Source organism: Homo sapiens, chromosome 3, assembly GCF_000001405.40.
Source record: "Homo sapiens chromosome 3, GRCh38.p14 Primary Assembly".
Classification (NCBI taxonomy): domain Eukaryota; kingdom Metazoa; phylum Chordata; class Mammalia; order Primates; family Hominidae; genus Homo; species Homo sapiens.
Window position 1 is genome coordinate 18,941,708 of NC_000003.12, and position 24,803 is coordinate 18,966,510.

Consider the following 24,803-nt stretch of genomic DNA (forward strand, 5'->3'; position numbering starts at 1 on the left):
GAAACTTACATTATTTTTGCTAATATTAGTTTAAAAATGATATTGTACTGTAGTTCAAATGTATATTTTGAATGTAAGAAGTGAGGTTAATCATTGCAATGCTTAATACTTAGTGTCAACTTGATTGGATTGATGGATAAAAAGTATTGATCCTGGGTGTATCTGTGAGGGTGTTGCCAAAGGAGACTAACATTTGAGTCAGTGGGCTGGGAAAGGCAGACCCACCCTTAACTTGGGTGGGCACAATCTAATCAACTGCCAGTGCAGATAGAATATAAGTAGGCAGAAAAATGTAAAAAGAGACTGGCCTAGCCTCTCAGTCTACAACTTTCTCCCATGCTGGATGTTTTATGCCCTCCAACATCGGACTCCAGGTTCTTCAGTTTTGAAACTTGGACTGGCTCTCCTTGCTCCTCAGTCTGCAAATGGCCTATTGCAGGACCTTGTGATTGTGTGAGTTAATACTTAATCTATATATATATATATATATATACATGAGCTCTGTATATATTAGTTTTATATATATTAGTTCTGTCCCTCTCTGGAGGGATATATTTATATACATCCTATTAGTTCTGTCCCTCTAGAGAACTCTGATTAATACAGATTTTGGTTTCAGGAGTGGTTCTAGAGGAACAGAATATTAAGGAAGAAGTTCTTTCATTGGTTTTGGGGTTTCTGGAGTTGGCTGCTTAATACGATTAGGCCAAAAAATGCAAAGGACTCTACTTCTAATAGTATGGAGAATATTGATAGTCCTTGGTGTGAACTGTTTATAGAGTCATGCAAAATAAATGCATTTGACAGTCCTGATTCATTGCTCGTTAAAGGAAAAGAGTTTAGTGACTCTATACATAATACCTTTGACCATATGTGGAGAACAAAGGAACATAATGAAGCTGGTTGGTTGCTCCTAAGTTCAGTGGACAAAATGATGAAAGAAAATAATGAATTCAGAGATTCTATCTCCCAGCTTCAGAAGCAGATACTGAGTCTCAAATCTGCTAAGATTGCCCTGAGTGAGAGTTTTATCTCCTGTAGAGAAAGAGCTGAAATTGTGGAAAAACAGACACAAGCTCTTATCATGTGAGTGGCTGACCTGCAATGAAAGGTACACGTGCAGCCTGGCCAGGTGTCTACTGTTAAAGTGAGGGCATTGATTGGAAAAGAATGGGACCCTGCAACTTGGAATGGGGACTGTGGGAGGACCCTGATAGCTGGGGACACTGAGACTGTAAACTCTGATGAACCTTTCTTGCCAGAAAAAACAGCCTCCCCATCCCCATTAGTGGCAACATCCCCTCCCCAACCCATGCTGCCATCAGCCTTTCCACCTTTGTCTGAGGAGATAAACCCTGCACTGCTTGAGGCAACAGTGATGGCCTCCCCTGAGGCAGTTGCCAGATGAGATAATGTTGATTCTCCTCAGGAGCCTCGCCCAACACCCCTTTTTGCTTCTAGACCTATAACTAGACTAAAGTCCCAATGGGCCTCTAGACGTAAGGTTGAGAGTGTGACCCATGAGAATGTGCGCTATGCTCAAGCAGAACTGCTTGAGTTCTCTAATTTATATAAACAGAAATCTGGAGAGTAGCCATGGGAATGGATATTAAGGGTGTGGATAATGGTGGAAGGAACATAGAGTTGGATCAGGCTGAATTTATTGACTTTGGCCCACTAAGTAGGGTCATAGATTGGGGAGTTAAAAAAGGTCCTAGTAGTTTATTTTCTTGGTTAGCTGATATATGGATTAAAAGATAGCCCACTGTCAGTGAGCTGGAAATGCCTGATCTCCCTTGGTTTAATGTAGAGGAAGGGAGCCAAAGGCTTAGGGAGATTGAGATGGTGGAGTGGATTAATCACTTTAGACCTGCTCATCCCAGCTGGGAGGGTCCTGAAGATATACCCTTGACCAATGCCTTGTGAAATAGATTTGTGAGGGCAGCACCTGTATCTTTGAAGAGCCCTGTGATTGCTCTTCTCTGTATGTCAGATCTAACAGTGGGAACTGCAGTCACTCAACTACAAAATTTAAACACAATGGGAATAATTGGATCCTGAGGGGTAAGGGCTAAGTGGCAGCACTCAATCACCAAAGAGAAGGTGGGCATAGCTATCATAATGAACAGCAGAGACAAAGTAGTAATCAGAAATAGTCTGACTCATGTAGAGCTCTTGCATTGGCTAATTAATCACGGTATTCCTAGAAGTGAAATTGATAGGAAGCCTACTGCATTCTTACTTAATTTATATAAGCAGAAAACTTCTAGGTGGAATGGGAAAAAGACTAATTTTAATTATAAAAACAGAATCACAGCCCCTCAATCAATTTCCAGACTTGAACAAGTCTACAGACCCAGAACTCTTTGAATGAAGGGGAGGCCAGGTCACCTTGAGAGAGGACCCCACTATATCTGACAATTTATGCAGTGAATCTTTCTAGCATCCTTCCCCAAGGAGGCCTCCAGCCTTTTACCAGGATTACTGTGCACTGAGGAAATGGAAATGATCAGGTATTTTGGGGACTATTGGACACTGGCTCTGAGCTGACATTGATTCCAGGGGACCCAAAACATCACTATGATCCTCCAGTAAAAGTATGGGCTTATGGAAGTCAGGTAATTAATAGAGTTTTAGCTCAGGTACAGCTTACAGTGGGTTCAGTGGGTCCTGAGACTCATCCTGTGGTCATTTCCCCAGTGTCAGAATGCATAATTGGCATAGACATACTTAACAGCTGGCAGAACCCCCACATTGGATCCCTGTCTGGTAGGGTGAGGGCTATCACAGTGGGAAAGGACAAATGCAAGCCATTAGAGTTGCTGCTACCTAGAAAAATAGTAAGTCAAAAACAGTATCACATCGCTGGAGGGATTGCAGAGATTAGTGCCACCATGAAAGACACAGGGGTGGTAATTCCCACTGCATCCCCATTCAACTCTCTCATTTGGTCTGTGCAGAAGACAGATGGATCTTAGAGAATGACAGTGGATTATCATAAGCTTAACCAAGTGGTGACTCCAATTGCAGCTGCTGTACCAGATGTGGTTTTATTGCTTGAGCAAATTAACACATCTCCTGTTACCTGGTATGCAGCCATTGACTTGGTAAGTGCATTTATCTCCATTTCTGTCTATAAGGCCCACCAGAAGCAATTTGCCTTCAGCTGACAAGGCCAGCAATATGCCTTTCTGTCATACCTCAGGGATATATCAACTTTCTGGCTTTGTGTCATAATCTTATTCGGAGAGAACTTGATCACTTTTCGCTTCCGCAAGATATCACACTTGTCCATTACATTGATGACATTATGCTGACTGGATTCAGTGAGCAAGAAGTAGCCAACACACTGGACTTATTGGTGAGACATTTGTGTGCCAGAGGATGGGAAATAAATCCGACTAAAATTCAAGAAACTTCCACCTCAGTAAAATTTCTAGAGGTCCAGTAGTGTGGGGTTTGCAGAGTTATTTCTTCTAAGATGAAGGATAAGCTGCTGCATTTGGCCCCTCCTACAACCAAGAAAGAGGCACAACACCTAGTGGGTCTATTTGGATTTTGGAGGCAATACATTCCTCATTTAGGTGTGTTACTCTGGCCCATTTATCAAGTGACCCGAAAGACTGCCAGTTTTGAATGGGGTTCAGGACAGGAGAAGGCTCTGCAACAGGTTCAGGCTGCTGTGCAAGCTGCTGTGCCACTTGGGATATATGACCCAGCAGATCCAATGCTACTTGAGGTCAGTTGCAGATAGGGATGCTGTTTGGAGCCTTTGGTGGACCCCCATAGGTGAATCACAGCAGAGGCCTCTCAGATTTTGGAGCAAGGCCCTGCCATCTTCTGCAGATAACTACTCTCCTTTTGAGAGGCAGCTCTAGGCCTGTTACTGGGCTTTGGTGGAAACTGAATGTTTGACTACGGGTCATCAAGTCACCATGAGACCTGAACTGCCTTTCATGAACTGGATGCTTTCTGATCCCATCTAGCCATAAAGTGGGTCATGCACAGCAGCATTCCATCATCAAATGAAAGTGGTATATATGTGATTGGGCTCGAGCAGGTCCTGAAGGCACAAGTAAGTTACATAAGGAAGTGGCTCAATTGCCCATGCTCTCCACTCCTGCCAACCCACCTTCTCTCCCTCAGTCTGCATCGAAGGCCTCATGGAGAGTGTCCTATGATCAGATGACAGAGGAAGAGAAGACTAGGGATTGCTTCACAGATGGTTCTGCACGATATGCAGGCACCACCTGAAAGTAGACAGCTGCAGCACTACAGCCCCTTTCTAGGACATCCCTGAAGGACAGGCATTAAGGAAAATCTTCTCAGTGGGCAGAACTTGAAGCAGTGCAAATGGCTGTGCACTTTGCATGGAAGGAGAGATGGCCAGATGTGCGATTATATGCTGATTCATGGGCTGTAGCCAATGGTTTGGCTGGATGGTCAGGGACGTGGAAGAAGCATGATTGGTTCCTGATGTTTTGTGGGAGTTGGCTAATTCTTGTATGGAATCAGTCTGTTTGAATTTTCTATTTCATCTGAGGTAAGTTTTGGAATATTTTTTATTCCTAGAAAATAATACATTTCATTCAGGTTTTCAAATTTATTCGATATTAGAGCAAAATTATTTTACTGAGCTCTAAATTACCTCTATTTCTGTGAATATTTCCCCATTAATTAATATTTCTTAATTTTGCTATTAAATGCTCTCTCTCTTTCTCTTGATGAGATTAACAGTATATTAGTTTTTTAAAGAAATAGAAACATAAATCAAACTCAAATAAATTTAAAAAATAAAAACTTACAAATAAAATTTAACATTATTCTGTTTTCTAGTCCATTATTTCATTTTGTCATAGTACCATGCAGCAAACAACCACAAAATCTCAGTGGCATTGTCTCACTCTTGAACTTCCACATTTGCTGGGGCAGTTTCTCTCCCGACTTTGGTGGCTGAAGCAGTTCCTTTTTATGCTGAATTGGCTTGTGTGGCTCTCCTCTAGGTGTCTCTCATCCTCCTCCTAGGACCAGCAGGCTAGTTTAGGCGTGTTATTCCCACAGCAATGGCAACAGCACAAGAGGGCTTACTCAACTACTCAAGCACATTGTAAGACTCTACTTGCATCACATCTGCTGGCATCCTGTTGCCAAAGGAATCCACATGACTGAGCCCAAATCAGGGGTAGAAGACATACACAAAAAAATCTGAAAAAGTGGGAACTGTATTCATATACCAAATTTTCTCTCCTTTCCTCCAGTTTATTTCATTTACCATTTTCTAACTTTTTGAGTTGAATATCTATTCATGACAAGGATTTTAAGATTATAAATTTTCTTCTAAACCCTGTTTTATCTACATCCTATAGATTCTAAAGTGTCTTTATTACATTTTTTCATATATATGCCCCAATTTTTATTTTCTATTTTCTCTTCAACCTAGATTTTAAGAAAATCTTTTTACAAATTTCAGGAAAAGGAAGCTTTTTCTTTTTTTAAGATGGAGTCTCACTCTGTCACTCAGGCTGGAGTGCATTGGCGCAATCTCGGCTCACTGCAACCTCCACCTCCGGGGCTCAAGCAGTCCTCCTGCCTCAGCCTCCTGATTAGCTGGGATTATAGGCATCCACCACCATGCCTGGCTAATTTTTTTTATTTTTAGTAGAGACGGGGTTTCACCAATTGGCCAGGCTGGTCTCAAACTCCTGACCTCTAGTGATCCGTGCACCTCAGCTCCCAAAGTGCTGGGTTTACAGGTGTGAGTCACCGCACCCTAGTTTTTGTCTAGTTTTATTATTATATGGTCATTAGAGAAGCTTGCACCTCTGATTCTTATTTATTTTTAATTCAGAATGGATTAAGGATTTTCTGGTGGTTTAATATACCATCAATTTTCCCAAATATTCCAAAGTTTATTCAAAATTAATAAGGTACAGAATTGCCTTATCAATTAGCCCTACTTTATTATTTATGTTATTTTGATATTCTGTATACTTAATAGTTTTCGTCTACTTGATCTGACATGGACCCAGAAAGGTGCAATAACACCTCTCATTAGTGTTTTCATGTCTATTTCAGCCTCTATCACCTGTCTTTTATGGTTTATGAATGTTTGGCACATTTATGCTTTATGAATGTAACTGTAGTATGTCCATTGTGAACACTTCTGCTATTAGCTTTCCTTTTTTCTTTTTTAATGCTCTTTGGCTGGAGACCCTTGTTTATTTTTGTCTGTCTTTTCTGGTATATACTTTTACATTCTTTGATTTTCAGTCTTACTGAAGTACTTTGTTTTAAGTAAGTCTATACCATAGAATATAGAATTGGGTTCACTATAATCCATCCTGAAATTTTTTTTTTTCTTTTGAAAGCTAAGTTAAGCCTTTAATAGGTTATTTACTGATACAAAAATTTACTGATACAAAAGCAGTGTTTTTTCTTTCTTATGTCATATTATTTGTATTGCATATTCTTTGTGGTTTTAAAAATAGTATTTCATTATAAGTTTTGTTTCCTTTGCTTCTTTTGTATTGTTTATCTGCTGATGAAGTTTTGTGTATTTTTCTTTATTTATTACCTTTATAATAATAATTTTACATTAGACCTTTATTCATGTACTTCTTTCGAATACATCATCTCTAAGTTCCCTGTTATGAATAATAATTAAAAATTGGAAATTTCCTCTTCCTTTTCTCTCTTATTCTTCCCTCTTACCTGACTTTAGTTACTAATGGTGTTTACTTTTAATTCATTAAATGAGATTATGGGTTTATTTAATTTCTGACACCCTTTCTTCCTTGTCCTTTTTTTTTTTCCCCCCAGGCTGGATTGCAGTGGCGCGATCTCTGCTCACTGCAACCTCTGCCTCTGGGGTTCAAGCAATTCTCCTGCCTCAGCCTCCCAAGTAGCTGGGACTACAGGCGCCCACCACCACATGTGGCTAACTGGTGTATTTTTAGTGGAGACTAGGTGTCACCATGTTGGCCAGGCTGGTTTCAAACTCCTGACCTCAAGTGATCCACAAACCTCAGCCTTTCAAAGTGCTGGGATTACAGGCATGAGCCATTGCACGTGGCTGCCTGTCCAATTTTTGTTAAATATATCATTTCTGCATTGGCAAGGAATATGATGTTTATTTTCTATTCTGACATGTCAACTTCCATATTTGCTTTCATTTAGGTTCTATATATTCAGTATTTATTTTCAGTCATTTTGCCAGTGTTTGTCTAGTTATTTCTTATTTGGCCCTAACTCATTCTCTAGTGATCCTTTCAATAAGAGCTCAATGGCGCAAGATTCTCTGAGCTCTTGCATGGTAAAAGTTGTTTGTTTATAGGTATTATATATTAAATCAAATTTGAGTAGCTACACCAATCTTTGACTCAAAGTCATTACTTTGTGTATTTTGCAAGTGTTGTTCTACAGCCTTCTCATATTAAATATTTTTAAGAAGAAATATAAGACTAGCATTTTGTTCTCCTCTTAGGAATTTTTGTTTTTATTTTTTTCCTGGTTGCTGCTGTAACTGCAGCTCGTCCTCCCTTCTCCCATTCTCTCATTCTCTTTCTCCTCCTCCATCACCTCCTTCTTTGCCTTTACCTTTTAAAGGCAAATATAAGTCTTAGAGTTGACCATACTGGATCACTTTTCCTGGTCTGCTGGGTATCCATTGACAATGTTGAATTTCACTGAAGCCTGGTGATCCTGGAAAACAGTACATGTTAAAGAAATTCCCCACTGTTTCCTGTTCTGGGAAGCTGCTTACTGCAAAGCACCATACTTTCACATTAGACTTAGATAATACTCATGGATGCCACCTTGTTTACTTATGACAAGGGATAAACAGACTCTCTAGATTCTCATTGTTTGCCTCATAAATGATTAGCTTAACTGTTTGCCCCCCACCCCCATCAATCAGAGCAAAATACTTGTTAACTAAATTTTGATTAATTTTCTCTCCTTCCCCCAGGAATCTTAACTTTGACCCACCCTCTGCCTAAACCAGCAAACAACCCCTTGTTAACAGCCCCTCCCCAAAATAGGCTGATTTTAGGGTGGAATATTTTCTGATTTATTGTCTGACCATAGCTATTTCTTCTGCTTCTTCATCATTTTGGACACATTCTTGCCTCCATCCTAGGTATTGCTTTTGAAAATTTGCATGATTCTTAATATTTACATTCAAATCCCCATATTCTCTGGATATTCTTTTATCATCCTGTGAAATTAAACATAGTTGGAAAATAAAGTATCAAGAAGACAGAGTGAAGGGTGCAGGGCTCCTTTGATGGGATCCATTGTCTCCAATTTTCTTTTGTACCTTCTACCTCTTCTTTACCATTCCTCCTGAATCTGACTGATCTCTTATTCTCAATATTTTTACCTTGAGCCTAAAATAAGGCTTTTGAAAATCAGTCAAATCTGTTTTTTGTTTGTTTGTTTGTTTTTGGTTTTTTGTTGGTTCGTTTGTTTTGTTTTGCTTTGCTGCACCATTTTCCCTTACAGTAATCAATATGGAGTGCAGAGTAAGGAGAGGAGACAGGAATTACAGAGGAATGAAACAGAATAGTACCCTACATTGATATGAACTATTTTCATTAATATGATAGAAGTGCCCCTGAGTCATTCACAGTCTTGTTAATGCTTCCTCTTACCCCAAGGCCCCAAAATCTGCAAGATAACTGGGTGAATTTAGGAAGGGATGTTTCCATTCCCCAGACAGAGCCAAGCAACATCTTCAGACACCTGAAGTCCAAGTCCCATAGGTAATAAGGTGTTGAGTTAACCTATCCCAGCCTCCTTTGATACCATCTTTTACTGAGAACATTTGACTAGATAATACCAATTATATTTCTTCTCATCTTTTTTCATTTTTTCAAATACCCATCATACAACTAGTTTACTGCCTGCTCAACTTTGTATGTTAATATCTCTTTATTTTTCAGCCCAGAATTACAAAGTTATTTTATTTTTACAATGAAAAATATTTTTACCTCTCAAAGTCTCTGTTTCTTTATAAAATGGGGATTATTATATCTCTTTTAGAGGAGTAATTTCTATGATGCTATCAAGAGAGTGTGCTGAAATTGGAGATCTGATCCTATTGTGTAGATCAGAAATGACTATCAATATTGGTTATAATTAAATGTTTATAATATACAGTAATTTCCGTGATTATAAAAATGTTAGCTGGTCAGAAGAAGCCACTAAAAATCCAAAGAAAAGTACTGGAAACAGAAGCCTTTCCATGGCCTCTCAGATGCTGCCCTTCATTTATTGGGGCTATGCAAACCTGTGCATACCTTCAGTAAGTACATGTTCCTGGGGTTTTGGCTCAGATAGGTGCTCATGTAGCCCCAGTTTGCCACTTAACTGTCATTATAATAATATGACCAGGCACATCTGGCTGAAGGAGTTGGGCTACAGTGTTTGTATTAATATCTAGCAAAGCAAAAATATAGAATGGCTTTTCACTTAATGAGCAGGATAGTGGTAAAATAGTGTCTGTAGTATCAACTATTTTGCCTGGTCTGCTCCTTAAAGTTAACTCGCATTGAGGAATTCCCTACCCTCCTCAGAGGGGGTTTTGCTTCTGACACTTATTTTTGTATATAATCTTCAGAAGAGACAATTGGTGGCAGAGATGTGTTATGTGGCTTATATGAGTTTATTTTATCAGGTGCTAAGGAGAGGAGAAGGCAGGCTTGGCATCCAGCATGAGGTTTCTTTCTGATCCTCAGTGAGTGGGCATCCAGATCCCTCCATGGCTTTTGGACGTCCACGATTGTGGCAGATCACTGTGACTCATTTGGCCCGACTGGCTGACAGACCCATCTGTCGTTAAGGAACCCAACTCAGATCCGTGTAGTAAGGGAGCAAAACAAACCACATATCTGAATCACAGGACAGAAGGAGAGCTACAGTCATCTGCTATTTTTTTTTTTTTAGTTAAATAAGGTTTTCCCTTCAAGCAGGTGGAGGGATGTACCTTACAGGGCTTTTGTGATTGGCTCCCAGCCAGTCTTCTGTATTTTTCACAGCTGGCATCAGGATAAACTAATTTTTTTACTGAATTGACCCTCTATTACTTTCATTTTCATCAGCTCACGACCAATTGATGAGATACAATTTAATACAATGCAATTAATGTTACAGGATTTTTCATAGCAAAGCATCAAAAAATGAGTTAAAACCTAAATGCCAACCAGTGGGAGTTGGAGTATAGGAATAAGAAACTTAGAAGACAATGTAAACCTAAGAGAGAAGAAAGCTCTAAGAAATATAAAAATAATTTATGCTGCCAATGCTGAGAGATTATGAAAAACAAGCTAGACAACAAATGGTTAATAATTACTTTACTAAGATGCTTCTAAGGATTCAAGAAACCATTCCCAAAGAGGTGACCTGTAAATTGGGCCTTGGAGGAATGGGGGAAGGAGGACATCAAGCTGGTGAGGAAAAGAAGGGCTATTTCTAGTAGACGGGAAACTATGAATGCAAGCAGAGAGCTGTGAAAAAGCATTCATGGCCCCATGAGATTTGGCACCTCCTTTCACCTACCTGTCATTTCCCACCAACACCCTACCACCTAAAGTATTTACTATTTGTATAAATTCATTATAAAAGCTTTGAAGGTGAAGTTAGGCTTAAGGATTTTTATTTTATTCAATGGGTTATAGTTCACTGTCAACATTATTTATGTTGATGTTAAATTGTACCAGATTTTGGACATTGGTTGTCTCTTCAAGGTGGCTTTTGTGTCCTTTTGACATGTCTCTAACATTCCTTGAGTACTGTCTTGCTTTTTTGACAACTCGTTGTGTATGATTTTAGTTGTAGCTCTGAAATTAACCTTTCCTCTAAGGAGCCCTGATGCCTTTTAGTGGAGAATGGTATTTAGGAACCAATATTTGAGTACTAGCTGTGCTCATTGCTACTGGCATTTCATTGCTTGTAGCCTATCTCAATGTTCAGAACTAGGAAAAATAACTGAAAATGCACACACACACACACACACACAAGTACACATATTTTTTCTGTATCTACCTGATTATATATTAAAAACAATGAATTTACCTGATAATTACAATTCCAGTCACTTGTGTTTATTCCAACTATATTCCCTTCCGTGTTTGTAATCCCCTTCTCCAATAGTGAAAAATTTGGTATCCATTTTATCATCAATATATTTACTTATTTGCTCACTCACAGAACACACCAGGCATGATTTCAGAATTGTTTGTCTGTACCATAGTGCAAATCAGTTATATTAAGTGGAATTTACTATTTGTCTTTTTTTCAGAGCAAAACTTATGAATAGTAAAATATACAAATCTTTACAATTCATTGAGTTGTAATAAGTACGTGCCTTCATGAAACTCACACTGGTTATTAAGATATAGAAAATGTCATCATTGTAGAAAGCTTCCCGTTGCCTCTTCCTGGTAAATTCCCTCATCTAATAGGTTAGAGTTTTCTCTTTTGAATTTTTATGTATATGAAATCACGTAGTGTGAATTCTTTTGGGTCCAGCTTCATTTGCTCAGTCTTTCATTGTCTAAAAGATTCATCCATATTATTATATGGATAAATAGTTTTTCATTTTTATTGCACAGTATTATTCCATTGCATATTGATATCAAAATTATTTACCTATTCTTTAGTTGACAGGCATTTGTGTTGTTCCCAATTTTGAACAGTTAAAAAAAGCTGCCATGAACATTTTCTATAAAGTCTTTTGTAAAAATGTATTCTCATTTATGTTAGGTAAATTCATAGGAGAAGAATCGATATATCATAGGGAGGATATATGTTCAATTTTTAAAAACTGAAAGGTTTCAAATTGATTGTATAATTTTTACTCTATCATCAAAGTATAAGAATTATGGTTGCTCCATATCACTGACAATATTTAGTGTTGGTCTTTTTTTATTTTAACCATTCTGCTAAATACGGAGTAGTATCTCTTTAGGATTTAACGGCATTTTCCAGCTAACTAATGATGTTGGATCCTTTTTCATTTACTTATTGGTCATATATACTTATTTCTTTGTGAATTCTCTGTTCGGCTCTGTTTTCATTGAATTGTCTTTTTCTTACTCAATTATAGGATACAAGTTTCTTTGTCTTTTGCCAGATATAATCTTAGGTTATAAAGATATCTTAGATTTTCTTTCAAAAGGTTTTAAGTTTAGCTTTTAAAAATAGGTCTATGATTCACCTCAAATTAATTTTTGCATATTGCATGAAGGACAGGTCAAAGTTCATTTTTTTCTATGTGGTATCCACATAGAAATCCTTCAGTGCCATTATCAAAAGTTAATTGACTGCACAATTTTGGGTGTATTTCTGAACTCTATGTTTTATCATTTTATAAATATTGCACTGTTTTTATATTGTAGCTTCAAGTAAGTCTTGAAGTCAGGTACTGTTAGCTCTCTTCCTATGTGTATTATTTTCCTTTTTCAAGATTGTTTTGACTATTCTAGATCACTTGTACTTTGAGAGAAATTTTAGAATCCACTTATCAATTTTTAAAATAAAAAGCATATTGCAATTATGATTGGGCTTATGTTGAATCTGTATATCAACTTGGGAAGAGTTGACATCTTGATAATACTGAGTCTGCCAGTCCATGAACATGGTCTATCACCCCATATACTTGGGACTTTAAAAGTTTCTCTCATTAATATTTTGTGGATTCTGTACAGAGATTTTGTTTGCATTAATTTATACTAAATATTTTACATATTTGGAAGCAGTGGAAATAGAACTTTAAAATTTTCATTTTAACGTTGTATATTGAGACCTTGCTAAATTGCTATGTAGTCTAGTGGATATTTATATATCCTTTAAGATTTACTACACAATCATGTCATCTGCAAATACTGACAGTTTAAATTCTTTTTTTTTTTTTTTTTTTTTGAGACTGTGTCTCACTCTGTTGCCCAGACTGGAGTGCAGTGGTGCGATCTTGGCTCACTGCAACCTGTCTCCTGGGTTCAAGTGATTCTCCTGCCTCAGCTTTCTGAGTAGCTGGGACCACAGGTGCACACCACCATGCCCAGCTAATTTTTGTATTTTTAGTAGAGATGGGGTTTCATCATACTCTCTAATTTTTATGCCTTTCTCTTGCATTATTGTACTTTCTTAAACTTCTCATTTAATGTAGAGTAGAAATAGTGAGAGAACATCTTTGCCTTGATCATTGTCTTAGAAGGAAAATAAACTACTGAAGAGAAAATGTGAATCTCTTTATAAAATTTTATGCAATCCTTGTACAGTATTCATGTTAGTCATCTCTGTACTGTTCCAATATTAGTATATGTGCTGCCAAAGCAAGTACATATTTTCTCTGAAAATCTGTGACTTTCTTGAAATCAGAATTCATGATTTAGTTATCTTTCTAGTCTATGCACCTAGCATAACGCCCCAAACATGCAAGAACTGCAATAAGTGTTTTTTAAACAAATGAATAACAAACAATTTCTTGAAAGATTATTTTGAAGAAATAACCTAATAATATCCTAGGACCCTATTTTCCAGAGGATGTTCTGTGTAATACTAATTCTAAGAGATGATATCATGTATTAATGTACTTTTTTTATTGACAAATAAATTTGAGAGATTCTGGATCTAAAAAGGAAAAAGATTTACCGACATAACAGAGTAGACAATTCATATTTACACTCATTTGTAAAAATTTTCCTAATATTGCTAGCTATGTACCTAAATTCCTTTATGATCCCCATATCTACTGATGGTTGGAAAGTAATGTAAACTTTCCAGTTACAGGTAACTCAATATTTTCCAGTTTAAAATCTCCTCATTTAGTGAGTGTTCACTCAGTTTAACTTCTCCAGGTGATACTCACCATTTCCTTTTCCAAATGGTGTCTGGAATTGTGCAAATGTTTTCTGGGGCTTACTCTTAGTGAACTCCCATTGAAGTGTAGCTTGTCTCACCTTACTCTGGGCAATGGCCTTTTTTCCTACTGTTTCTGCTGTTCAAGTGACTATAACAGATATACCTTATTACTTGTTGTCACAGAAAAATCAAGTCTCAAGGTATCTATCCTTATAGTTATGGGTTGAATTATATCCCCTCAAAATTCATGTGACAAAGTCCTAATTCCTAGTAACTCAGAATGTGATCTTATTTTGAAATAAGGCCATTGCTGATATAAGTAGTTGAGAGGTTATTAAGATAGGTCCCAATCCAATGTGACTATGTCCTTACAAAAAGGTAGAAGTTTGGAGAAAGACATGCAAACCAGGACTATGCCATGTGAGGATAAAGGCAGAGTTGGGGGTGATGCTTCTATAAGCCAAAGAACAGCAAATATTTCCAGCAAACCACCAGGAGCTAGAAGAGAGACATGGAACAGATTCGTTACAGCAGCTTCAGTAAACTAATATATATTCATCCTTTCTTCCGGATGTTATGTTTGTACTTGGTTTTCACTGACTTTCTAAATCTTCTGATTTTCAGCTGTAACTTCTACTTCTTGCTTAGATTGCCCACTCCACTGTATCTCATATGTGATCACTTTGCAATTTGCTATATTGACCCATGGAAGACCAACTGTTATTACTTCTTAGGTATTTCCAGTTACCCCAGTGAGAGCATGAAAGAAATTTTGAATCCCTTCCACATCACAGAGCTGTCAAGGGATGTTCCATTGGCAAAATTTCCTGCTGTTTCTCTACCTAAATATGTCTATAATATTTTCCATTCCACTATAACCATCTCATATCAGCACAAGGAAGAATCTTGGAAGTCAGTCTTAGTTCAGAGTTACAACTGGGAAGGAAAATACATGCACCTTAGGGGTTCAACTTCCCTTCCAACTTCCCTGGAGTTTTCCTCTCCCCTCTCCTGTGCCCCTTGGATTACAGTTAATGGAGGTGAGTTGACTGGATTCCTGAAAAATCCAGGTTGCTTTTTTACACTATGCTTAATCCTTCCAAATGCTCTTCTTCCTCTCATGAGTGGTATCTTCTTTCCTTTTTCTGATTGGCATTCCCCATATAAGATTGCTTTCTAATTTTCCTCTCAACATTATTTTTTGGTAAAACTTAGTGATCTATGATTCCACCAAGCCTGATTTTTGATAAGCAGAAGGTCTTCAACAATTAGAAATCCATCTCTCCCACTAAAGCTAGGGTTTCAATAATTTTTCTAGCCTTCATATTCATAGTCCTCTTTGGGAAGTTGAATGCTGAATACTGACTCTTTCTCTCCAAATTCCTGTTATAAACATCCTAATTATCTCTAAGGCATTAGGTGCCTCAGATTAAACAAAGTGAGGATCATCAGTAATGTGGAAAAGAAACACACATTAATGTCTTCATATTACCCAGGACTTCTCAAAGCTTTTCACGTGCTAACAGGTGTTATGACTCTACAAACATGGAGGATATGGTATGTATAGCACTTTACAACTTATTTGAACACAGATCCTTTATCTTCAGAGAACATCTGGCTAGACTAATATCCCATTAGAAATGAACCGATGAGCAAAATGATGTGTTGCAAAACAGGAAAAACTGGAAGCAGGGTAATGAATTAAGAGGATACATCATTTGTCCAAAAGAAAAGTGACGAAGACCTGAACTGGAGAAATGGCAGTGATCATGAGATTCAATAAGGATTTAGATTTATTATTTAGTATTTATAAACTATGTAATATTGTCAGAACACTTGACTTACTTAATGACATTGGATTCTAGATGTTTCCATCTAGCAATGTTTGTAATTTGTTGAATTTCAAGAAGACAACTGGTTGAAATCAGAGGCACATGTATTTTAAATACATGTTTATAAAACAGATGTGGAAGGAAGACATATTTCTTTTGGGCTGGCACTTAAGGAAAATTTTCTTAAGGCATCCAATTACATTTTATTCTGCCTCTCTCTTAGTTCATGAAATGTATCAGAAAGTTCTCCTTGGTTTCTCAAGGTCTTTGAAAACAGACTTACCAATGTGATGAGAAAACTTGAAAAAATTCCCCAAATTGCTAGTCAGTAAAATTTTAGATTCAAAGCAATTTTAGTGTTCTAAGCATTCATTTTTTTTAATTTTTTTTTTATTGCTTACATATTTCTTTTTTTTTTATACTTTAAGTTTTAGGGTACATGTGCACATTGTGCAGGTTAGTTACATATGTATACATGTGCCATGCTGGTGCGCTGCACCCACTAACTCGTCATCTAGCATTAGGTATATCTCCCAATGCTATCCCTCCCCACTCCCCCACCCCACAACAGTCCCCAGAGTGTGATATTCCCCTTCCTGTGTCCATGTGATCTCATTGTTCAATTCCCACCTATGAGTGAGAATATGCGGTGTTTGGTTTTTTCTTCTTGCGATAGTTTACTGAGAATGATGATTTCCAATTTCATCCATGTCCCTACAAAGGACATGAACTCATCCTTTTTTATGGCTGCATAGTATTCCATGGTGTATATGTGCCACATTTTCTTCATCCAGTCTATCATTGTTGGACATTTGGGTTGGTTCCAAGTCTTTGCTATTGTGAATAATGCCGCAATAAACATACGTGGGCATGTGTCTTTATAGCAGCATGATTTATAGTCCTTTGGGTATATACCCAGTAATGGGATGGCTGGGTCAAATGGTATTTCTAGTTCTAGATCCCTGAGGAATCGCCACACTGACTTCCACAATGGTTGAACTAGTTTACAGTCCCACCAACAGTGTAAAAGTGTTCCTATTTCTCCACATCCTCTCCAATGCCTGTTGTTTTATGACTTTTTAATGATTGCCATTCTAACTGGTGTGAGATGGTATCTCATTGTGGTTTTGATTTGCATTTCTCTGATGGCCAGTGATGATGAACATTTTTTCATGTGTTTTTTGGCTGCATAAATGTCTTCTTTTGAGAAGTGTCTGTTCATGTCCTTTGCCCACTTTTTGATGGGGTTCTTTGTTTTTTTCTTGTAAATTTGTTTGAGTTCATTGTAGATTCTGGATATTAGCCCTTTGTCAGATGAGTAGGTTGCAAAAATTTTCTCCCATTTTGTAGGTTGCCTGTTCACTCTGATGGTAGTTTCTTTTGCTGTGCAGAAGCTCTTTAGTTTAATTAGATCCCATTTGTCAATTTTGGCTTTTGTTGCCATTGCTTTTGGTGTTTTAGACATGAAGTCCTTGCCCATGCCTATGTCCTGAATGGTAATGCCTAGGTTTTCTTCTAGGATTTTTATGGTTTTAGGTCTAACGTTTAAGTCTTTAATCCATCTTGAATTGATTTTTGTATAAGGTGTAAGGAAGGGATCCAGTTTCAGCTTTTTACATATGGCTAGCCAGTTTCCCCAGCACCATTTATTAAATAGGGAATCCTTTCTCCATTGCTTGTTTTTCTCAGGTTTGTCAAAGATCAGATAGTTGTACATATGCGGCATTATTTCTGAGGGCTCTGTTCTGTTCCATTGATCTATATCTCTGTTTTGGTACCAGTACCATGCTGTTTTGGTTACTGTAGCCTTGTAGTATAGTTTGAAGTCAGGTAGTGTGATGCCTCCAGCTTTGTTCTTTTGGCTTAGGATTGACTTGGCAATGCGGGCTCTTTTTTGGTTCCATATGAACTTTAAAGTAGTTTTTTCCAATTCTGTGAGGAAAGGCATTGGTAGCTTGATGGGGATGGCACTGAATCTATAAATTACCTTGTGCACTATGGCCATTTTCACGATATTGATACTTCCTACCATGAGCATGGAATGTTCTTCCATTTGTTTGTATCCTCTTTTATTTCCTTGAGCAGTGGTTTGTAGTTCTCCTCGAAGAGGTCCTTCACATCCCTTGTAAGTTGGATTCCTAGGTATTTTATTCTCTTTGAAGCAATTGTGAATGGGAGTTCACTTAGGATTTGGCTCTCTGTTTGTCTGTTTTTGGTGTATAAGAATGCTTGTGATTTTTGTACATTGATTTTGTATCCTGAGACTTTGCTGAAGTTGCTTATCAGCTTAAGGAGATTTTGGGCTGAGACAATGGGGTTTTCTAGATATACAATCATGTCATCTGCAAACAGGGACAATTTGACTTCCTCTTTTCCTTAATGAATACCCTTTATTTCCTTCTCCTGCCTAATTTCTCTGGCCAGAACTTCCAACACTATGTTGAATAAGAGTGGTGAGAAAGGGCATCCCTGTCTCGTGCCAGTTTTCAAAGGGAATGCTTCCAGTTTTTGCCCATTCAGTATGATATTGGCTGTGGGTTTGTCATAGATAGCTCTTATTATTTTGAAATACGTCCCATCAATACCTAATTTATTGAGAGTTTTTAGCATGAAGGGTTGTTGAATTTTGTCAAAGGCTTTTTCTGCATCTATTGAGATAATCATGTGGTTTTTGTCTTTGGTTCTGTTTATATGTTGGATTACATTTATTGATTTGTGTATATTGAACCAGCCTTGCATCCCAGGGATGAAGCCCACTTGATCGTGGTGGATAAGCTTTTTGATGTGCTGCTGGATTCGTTTTGCCGGTATTTTATTGAGGATTTTTGCATCAATGTTCATGAAGCATATTGGTCTAAAATTCTCTTTTTTGGTTGTGCCTCTGCCCAGCTTTGGTATCAGAATGATGCTGGCCTCATAAAATGAGTTAGGGAGGATTCCCTCTTTTTCTATTGATTGGAATAGTTTCAGAAGGAATGGTACCAGTTCCTCCTTGTACCTCTGGTAGAATTCAGCTGTGAATCCATCTGGTCCTGGACTCTTTTTGGTTGGTAAGTTATTGATTATTGCCACAATTTCAGATCCTGTTACTGGTCTATTCAGAGATTCAACTTCTTCCTGGTTTAGTCTTGGGAGAGTGTATGTGTTGAGGAATTTATCCATTTCTTCTAGATTTTCTAGTTTATTTGCGCAGAGGTGTTTGTAGTATTCTCTGATGGTAGTTTGCATTTCTGTGGGATTGGTGATGATATCCTCTTTATCATTTTTTATTGCATCTATTTGATTCTTCTCTCTTTTTTTCTTTATTAGTCTTGCTAGCAGTCTATCAATTTTGCTGATCCTTTCAAAAAACCAGCTCCTGGATTCATTAATTTTTTGAAGGGTTTTTTGTGTCTCTATTTCCTTCAGTTCTGCTCTGATTTTAGTTATTTCTTGTCTTCTGCTAGCTTTTGAATGTGTTTGCTCTTGCTTTTCTAGTTCTTTTAATTGTGATGTTACAGTGTCAATTTTGGATCTTTCCTGCTTTCTCTTGTGGGCATTTAGTGCTATAAATTTCCCTCTACACACTGCTTTGAATGCGTCCCAGAGATTCTGGTATGTTGTGTCTTTGTTCTCATTGGTTTCAAAGAACATCTTTATTTCTGCCTTCATTTCGTTATGTACCCAGTAGTCATTGAGGAGCAGGTTGTTCAGTTTCCATGTAGTTGAGCGGTTTTGAGTGAGTTTCTTAATCCTGAGTTCTAGTTTGATTGCACTGTGGTCTGAGAGATAGTTTGTTATAATTTCTGTTCTTTTACATTTGCTGAGGAGAGCTTTACTTCCAAGTATGTGGTCAATTTTGGAATAGGTGTGGTGTGGTGCTGAAAAAAATGTATATTCTGTTGATTTGGGGTGGAGAGTTCTGTCGATGTCTATTAGGTCTGCTTGGTGCAGAGCTGAGTTCAATTCCTGGGTATCCTTGTTGACTTTCTGTCTCGTTGATCTGTCTAATGTTGACAGTGGGGTGTTAAAGTCTCCCATTATTAATGTGTGGGAGTCTAAGTCTCTTTGTAGGTCACTCAGGACTTGCTTTATGAATCTGGGTGCTCCTGTATTGGGTGCATATATATTTAGGATAGTTAGCTCTTCTTGTTGAATTGATCCCTTTACCATTATGTAATGGCCTTCTTTGTCTCTTTTGATCTTTGTTGGTTTAAAGTCTGTTTTATCAGAGACTAGGATTGCAACCCCTGCCTTTTTTTGTTTTCCATTTGCTTGGTAGATCTTCTTCCATCCTTTTATTTTGAGCCTATGTGTGTCTCTGCACGTGAGATGGGTTCCCTGAATACAGCACACTGATGGGTCTTGACTCTTTATCCAATTTGCCAGTCTGTGTCTTTTAATTGGAGCATTTAGTCCATTTACATTTAAAGTTAATATTGTTATGTGTGAACTTGATCCTGTCATTATGATGTTAGCTGGCTATTTTGCTCGTTAGTTGATGCAGTTTCTTCCTAGTCTCGAAGGTCTTTACATTTTGGCATGATTTTGCAGTGGCTGGTACCGGTTGTTCCTTTCCATGTTTAGTGCTTCCTTCAGGAGCTCTTTTAGGGCAGGCCTGGTGGTGACAAAATCTCTCAGCATTTGCTTGTTTGTAAAGTATTTTATTTCTCCTTCGCTTATGAAGCTTAGTTTGGCTGGATATGAAATTCTGGGTTGAAAATTCTTTCCTTTAAGAATGTTGAATATTGGCCCCCACTCTCTTCTGGCTTGTAGGGTTTCTGCCAAGAGATCCGCTGTTAGTCTGATGGGCTTCCCTTTGAGGGTAACCCGACCTTTCTCTCTGGCTGCCCTTAACATTTTTTCCTTCATTTGAGCTTTGGTGAATCTGACAATTATGTGTCTTGGAGTTGCTCTTCTCAAGGAGTATCTTTGTGGTGTTCTCTGTATTTCCTGAATCTGAACATTGGCCTGCCTTGCTACATTGGGGAAGTTCTCCTGGATAATATCCTGCAGAGTGTTTTCCAACTTGGTTCCATTCTCCCCATCACTTTCAGGTACACCACTCAGATGTAAATTTGGTCTTTTCACATAGTCCCATATTTCTTGGAGGGTTTGCTCATTTCTTTTTATTCTTTTTTCTCTAAACTTCCCTTCTCACTTCATTTCATTCATTTCATCTTCCATCGCTGATACCTTTTCTTTCAGTTGATTGCATCGCCTCCTGAGGCTTCTGCATTCTTCACGTAGTTCTCGAGCCTTGGTTTTCAGCTCCATCAGCTCCTTTAAGCACTTTTCTGTATTGGTTATTCTAGTCATACATTCTTCTAAATTTTTTTCAAAGTTTTCAACTTCTTTGCCTTTGGTTTGAATGTCCTCCCGTAGCTCAGAGTAATTTGATTGTCTGAAGCCTTCTTCTCTCAGCTCGTGAAAGTCATTCTCCATCCAGCTTTGTTCCATTGCTGGTGAGGAACTGCATTCCTTTGGAGGAGGAGAGGCGCTATGCTTTTTAGAGTTTCCAGTTTTTCTCTTCTGTTTTTTCCCCATCTTTATAGTTTTGTCTACTTTTGGTCTTTGATGATGGTGATGTACAGATGGGTTTTTGGTGTGGATGTTCTTTCTGTTTGTTAGTTTTCCTTCTAACAGACAGGACCCTCAGCTGCAGGTCTGTTGGAATACCCTGCCGTGTGAGGTGTCAGTGTGCCCCTGCTGGGGGGTGCCTCCCAGTTAGGCTGCTCGGGGGTCAGGGGTCAGGGACCCACTTGAGGAGGCAGTCTGCCCGTTCTCAGATCTCCAGCTGCGTGCTGGGAGAACCACTGCTCTCTTCAAAGCTGTCAGACAGGGACATTTAAGTCTGCAGAGGTTACTGCTGTCTTTTTGTTTGTCTGTGCCCTGCCTCCAGAGGTGGAGCCTACAGAGGCAGGCAGGCCTCCTTGAGCTGTGGTGGGCTCCACCCAGTTAGAGCTTCCAGGCTGCTTTGTTTACCTAATCAAGCCTGGGCAATGGCGGGCGCCCCTCCCCCAGCCTCGCTGCTGCCTTGCAGTTTGATCTCAGACTGCTGTGCTAGCAATCAGCGAGATTCCGTGGGCGTAGGACCCTCCGAGCCAGGTGCAGGATAAAATCTCGTGGTGCGCCGTTTTTTAAGCCGGTTGGAAAAGCGCAGTATTTGGGTGGGAGTGCCCGATTTTCCAGGTACGTCTGTCACCCCTTTCTTTGACTCGGAAAGGGAACCCCCTGACCCCTTGCGCTTCCCGAGTGAGGCAATGCCTTGCCCTGCTTCGGCTGGCGCACGGTGCGCGCACCCACTGACCTGCGCCCACTGTCTGGCACTCCCTAGTGAGATAAACCCGGTACCTCAGATGGAAATGCAGAAATCACCCGTCTTCTGCGTCGCTCACGCTGGGAGCTGTAGACCAGAGCTGTTCCTATTCGGCCATCTTGGCTCCTCTCTCACCATTCTTTTTTTAAGTTGTATTTTATAGACCTGATCTTGCTCTGTCTCCCGGGCTGGAAAGCAGTGGCAGCATCATGGCTCACTGCAGCCTTGACCTCCCAGGCTCAAGCAATTCTCTCACCTCAGCCTCCTGAGTAGCAGGGATCACAGGCATGCACCTCTACACTTGGCTAATTTTTTTCCTTTCTTGTAAAGACAGGGTTTCACTATGTTGCCCAAGTTGGTCTTGAACTCCTAGGCTCAAGCAATCCTCCCATCTCAGCCTTCCACAATGCTAGGATTACAAGTGAGAGTCACTGCACCTGGCCTACCAAATATTTTTAAATAGCATATTGGAATATCTTTCATGGGCCTCCACTGATTTATACTTTTCACTAAGACTAGAATATTGTGTTTATTATAATGTAATTTAAGCACAAGAGGAAAAAGAAGACAAATTTAGTTATAAAATTAAATTAGTTCATATTAAATATGGCTAGAAGATTATTTCTATTTAGGCCTATTAGAATAGAACTGAATAATCAAAATAGAACTGGTGATTTTTAACTAAAAACAGTATTGCAGTTCTTCCTTTTAGCAATAAAGGTACCAATTAGATAGAGATTACTAATAAGATCTGTTTCACAAAAATAGCTTATTTTTCTATGGTGTTACTATAGTAATAAAAATTTTAAGAAAGAAAAAAATAACAAAGGAAGTAATAATTTGGAGAGTGTGGCAGATTGCTGAAAAAAATGAACATAACTATTTTCATCTCTTCCTTTTACTCATGCCCCTTTGCACTGCCACTTGCAGTATCTTGAATCAAAAGGTAGGCTTTGCTTTTCCACCCGTTATATATGGTCTGAACTTGTAACTTGCTCTGACCAATGAAATGCAGTGGAAGTGCCGTTGTGGCAGTTGTAAACCTAGGTTTCATGTGCCCTTGCCAATTCTATTCTCTGCAGAAACTCTTTGAAGCCTCCACGTGGACAAGTCTAAGCTAGTCTGCTGGATGATGAAAAACCACATGGAGACCACATGTGCCATCCCAGTTGAAGCCATCTTAGATCAGCCAGCCCTACTAACTGAGTGTAGTTACATGGGTGAGGCCAGCTGAAACCAGAATTGCCCAGCAAAGCCTAGCCCAAATTACCAACCTGTAGAATTGTGAGATAAATAGATGTTTGTTGTTTTAAGCAACTAAAGCATTCCAAAACTGTTGTTTTGGAATGGCCGGTTATTCAGCAACTAATTTGGTGCTTCAGATTATTTCTGTGCTTAACTATTTTAATCACCTCTCAGTAATCTTCCTCTTTTAATAGCTTCTGATTGCCCACAGAGTAAAGTTTCCATAACTTTAATCAGATTTTCAAGGCCTTTCGTGATTTCTCCACAAGATAAATTTGAAGTTGAAGTTTCTGCTACTTTTCTTCATTCACCCTTGAATGATGTTGCCAAAATGAATTATCAATAGTCCTTGACTATGAAACACTATCAATTGAAAAGTCTATCATTTGTTTAATACACATTTTATTTCACATCCTTACAGATGGTAAGTTTCTTTTGAAATCGATTCTAAGATAAATCACGTTTTTATAGACAGTAAAGTCTAGAAATATAATGTGACTGAGAAATAAGAAAGCAGAGTCCTTATTATTTTCTACATCTTAAGTTCTCTGCTGCCTGTCCCTGTCTAGAACCATTCCCTCTGTTTTGTATGCTCCAGGTCTACAAATTCTGCTTATATATATCTACATATCCTGCTTATCTAAAAATCTACGCAAATATCTTCCCACTTAGAAATCATTGAGGACCTTTGACTTCATTGAGCTAAATGTAATCACTCCTACATGAACTTTCATCAAAATGATTAGAACTACTCACAGGCATTTTCCAATTTTATTGGCAACTTTTCCTTTGCTATTAGACTGTATGCAGGTTGAGGGCAATACAGCACTTATTGAATATTTCACACTCTCTTTTTGCCACTCCAATGCAAAGTTCTAAGTACAGTGTCTATTCCACCTTGCTCAATATATATTTGTTCACCAAATCAGTCAAAAAAAGTACACATTTAACAAACCTCAAGGTTTCTGACTCTTCATATTCGTTTTGTCACTAATTAACCATGAGACCTTAGGCAATTTGCTTAATCTCTAGGGGCTGATGCCGCAAATTACCTAAGAGACAGGATAGTAGATGTGTGAATATTCTATGTAAACTGGGAGATCAGTTTGGTGTTTTAGCATTGTTTCCTGTTCTGAAAAATGAGGCAGTTGAACTTGATCTAGTTTTTAAAAGCCACCTGTAAGTAGCATTCCACAATGATAATATTGCCAGTTGTTGCTTTTTCTTAAGTGTGTTGGCTCAAAGTGTGAGATGACTTTTAAAAACGAAGTACAGAACTTGCTTCCTAAAAGCTTATCTTGGTAGCTGATGCACTAGTGAACGTTCCTACTATGATTATTATTCCAGACAACTTTGCACCATGCGGACAGGTCAAATGAGACCAGAAGTATTATGAACCAATGCTAATCAGGACTGTTTCCTGCACTCTGAGACCAAAGGGGCCATTCTCACAAAGAAAGAGGTAGGTATTATTACAGCAATATAAATCACCCAAGAGTTTGGTTCAAAACTTTTTTGATTAACTAAAACTTTTATTAATAAAAGTAGATTAAAGACATATTAAG

The 24,803-nt window shown here is 38.4% G+C and overlaps 1 long non-coding RNA gene and 1 pseudogene across 2 annotated transcripts in view, besides 1 other annotated feature; one reads left to right on the forward strand and one right to left on the reverse strand.

Annotated features, from left to right (window-relative positions):
• Nucleotides 13,236-13,342, reverse strand: RNU6-138P (RNA, U6 small nuclear 138, pseudogene; annotated as a pseudogene).
• Nucleotides 22,610-23,809: an enhancer, noted in NCBI's record as "CDK7 strongly-dependent group 2 enhancer chr3:19005809-19007008 (GRCh37/hg19 assembly coordinates)". NCBI's record gives its function as "activates an origin of replication core promoter dependent on BRD2, BRD4, P300/CBP, MED14 and CDK7 cofactors, with strong dependence on CDK7, by STARR-seq in HCT116 cells {active_cell/tissue: HCT116}" and the evidence as "EXISTENCE:reporter gene assay evidence [ECO:0000049][PMID:35650434]".
• LOC107986066 (uncharacterized) overlaps nt 24,446-24,803 on the forward strand; it is a 116,751-nt gene continuing 116,393 nt past the window's right edge. For both annotated transcript variants that reach the window (XR_001740613.2, XR_001740614.2), the window contains exon 1: nt 24,446-24,700. This is a non-coding gene — a long non-coding RNA (uncharacterized LOC107986066). The remainder of the gene's footprint in view (nt 24,701-24,803) is intronic.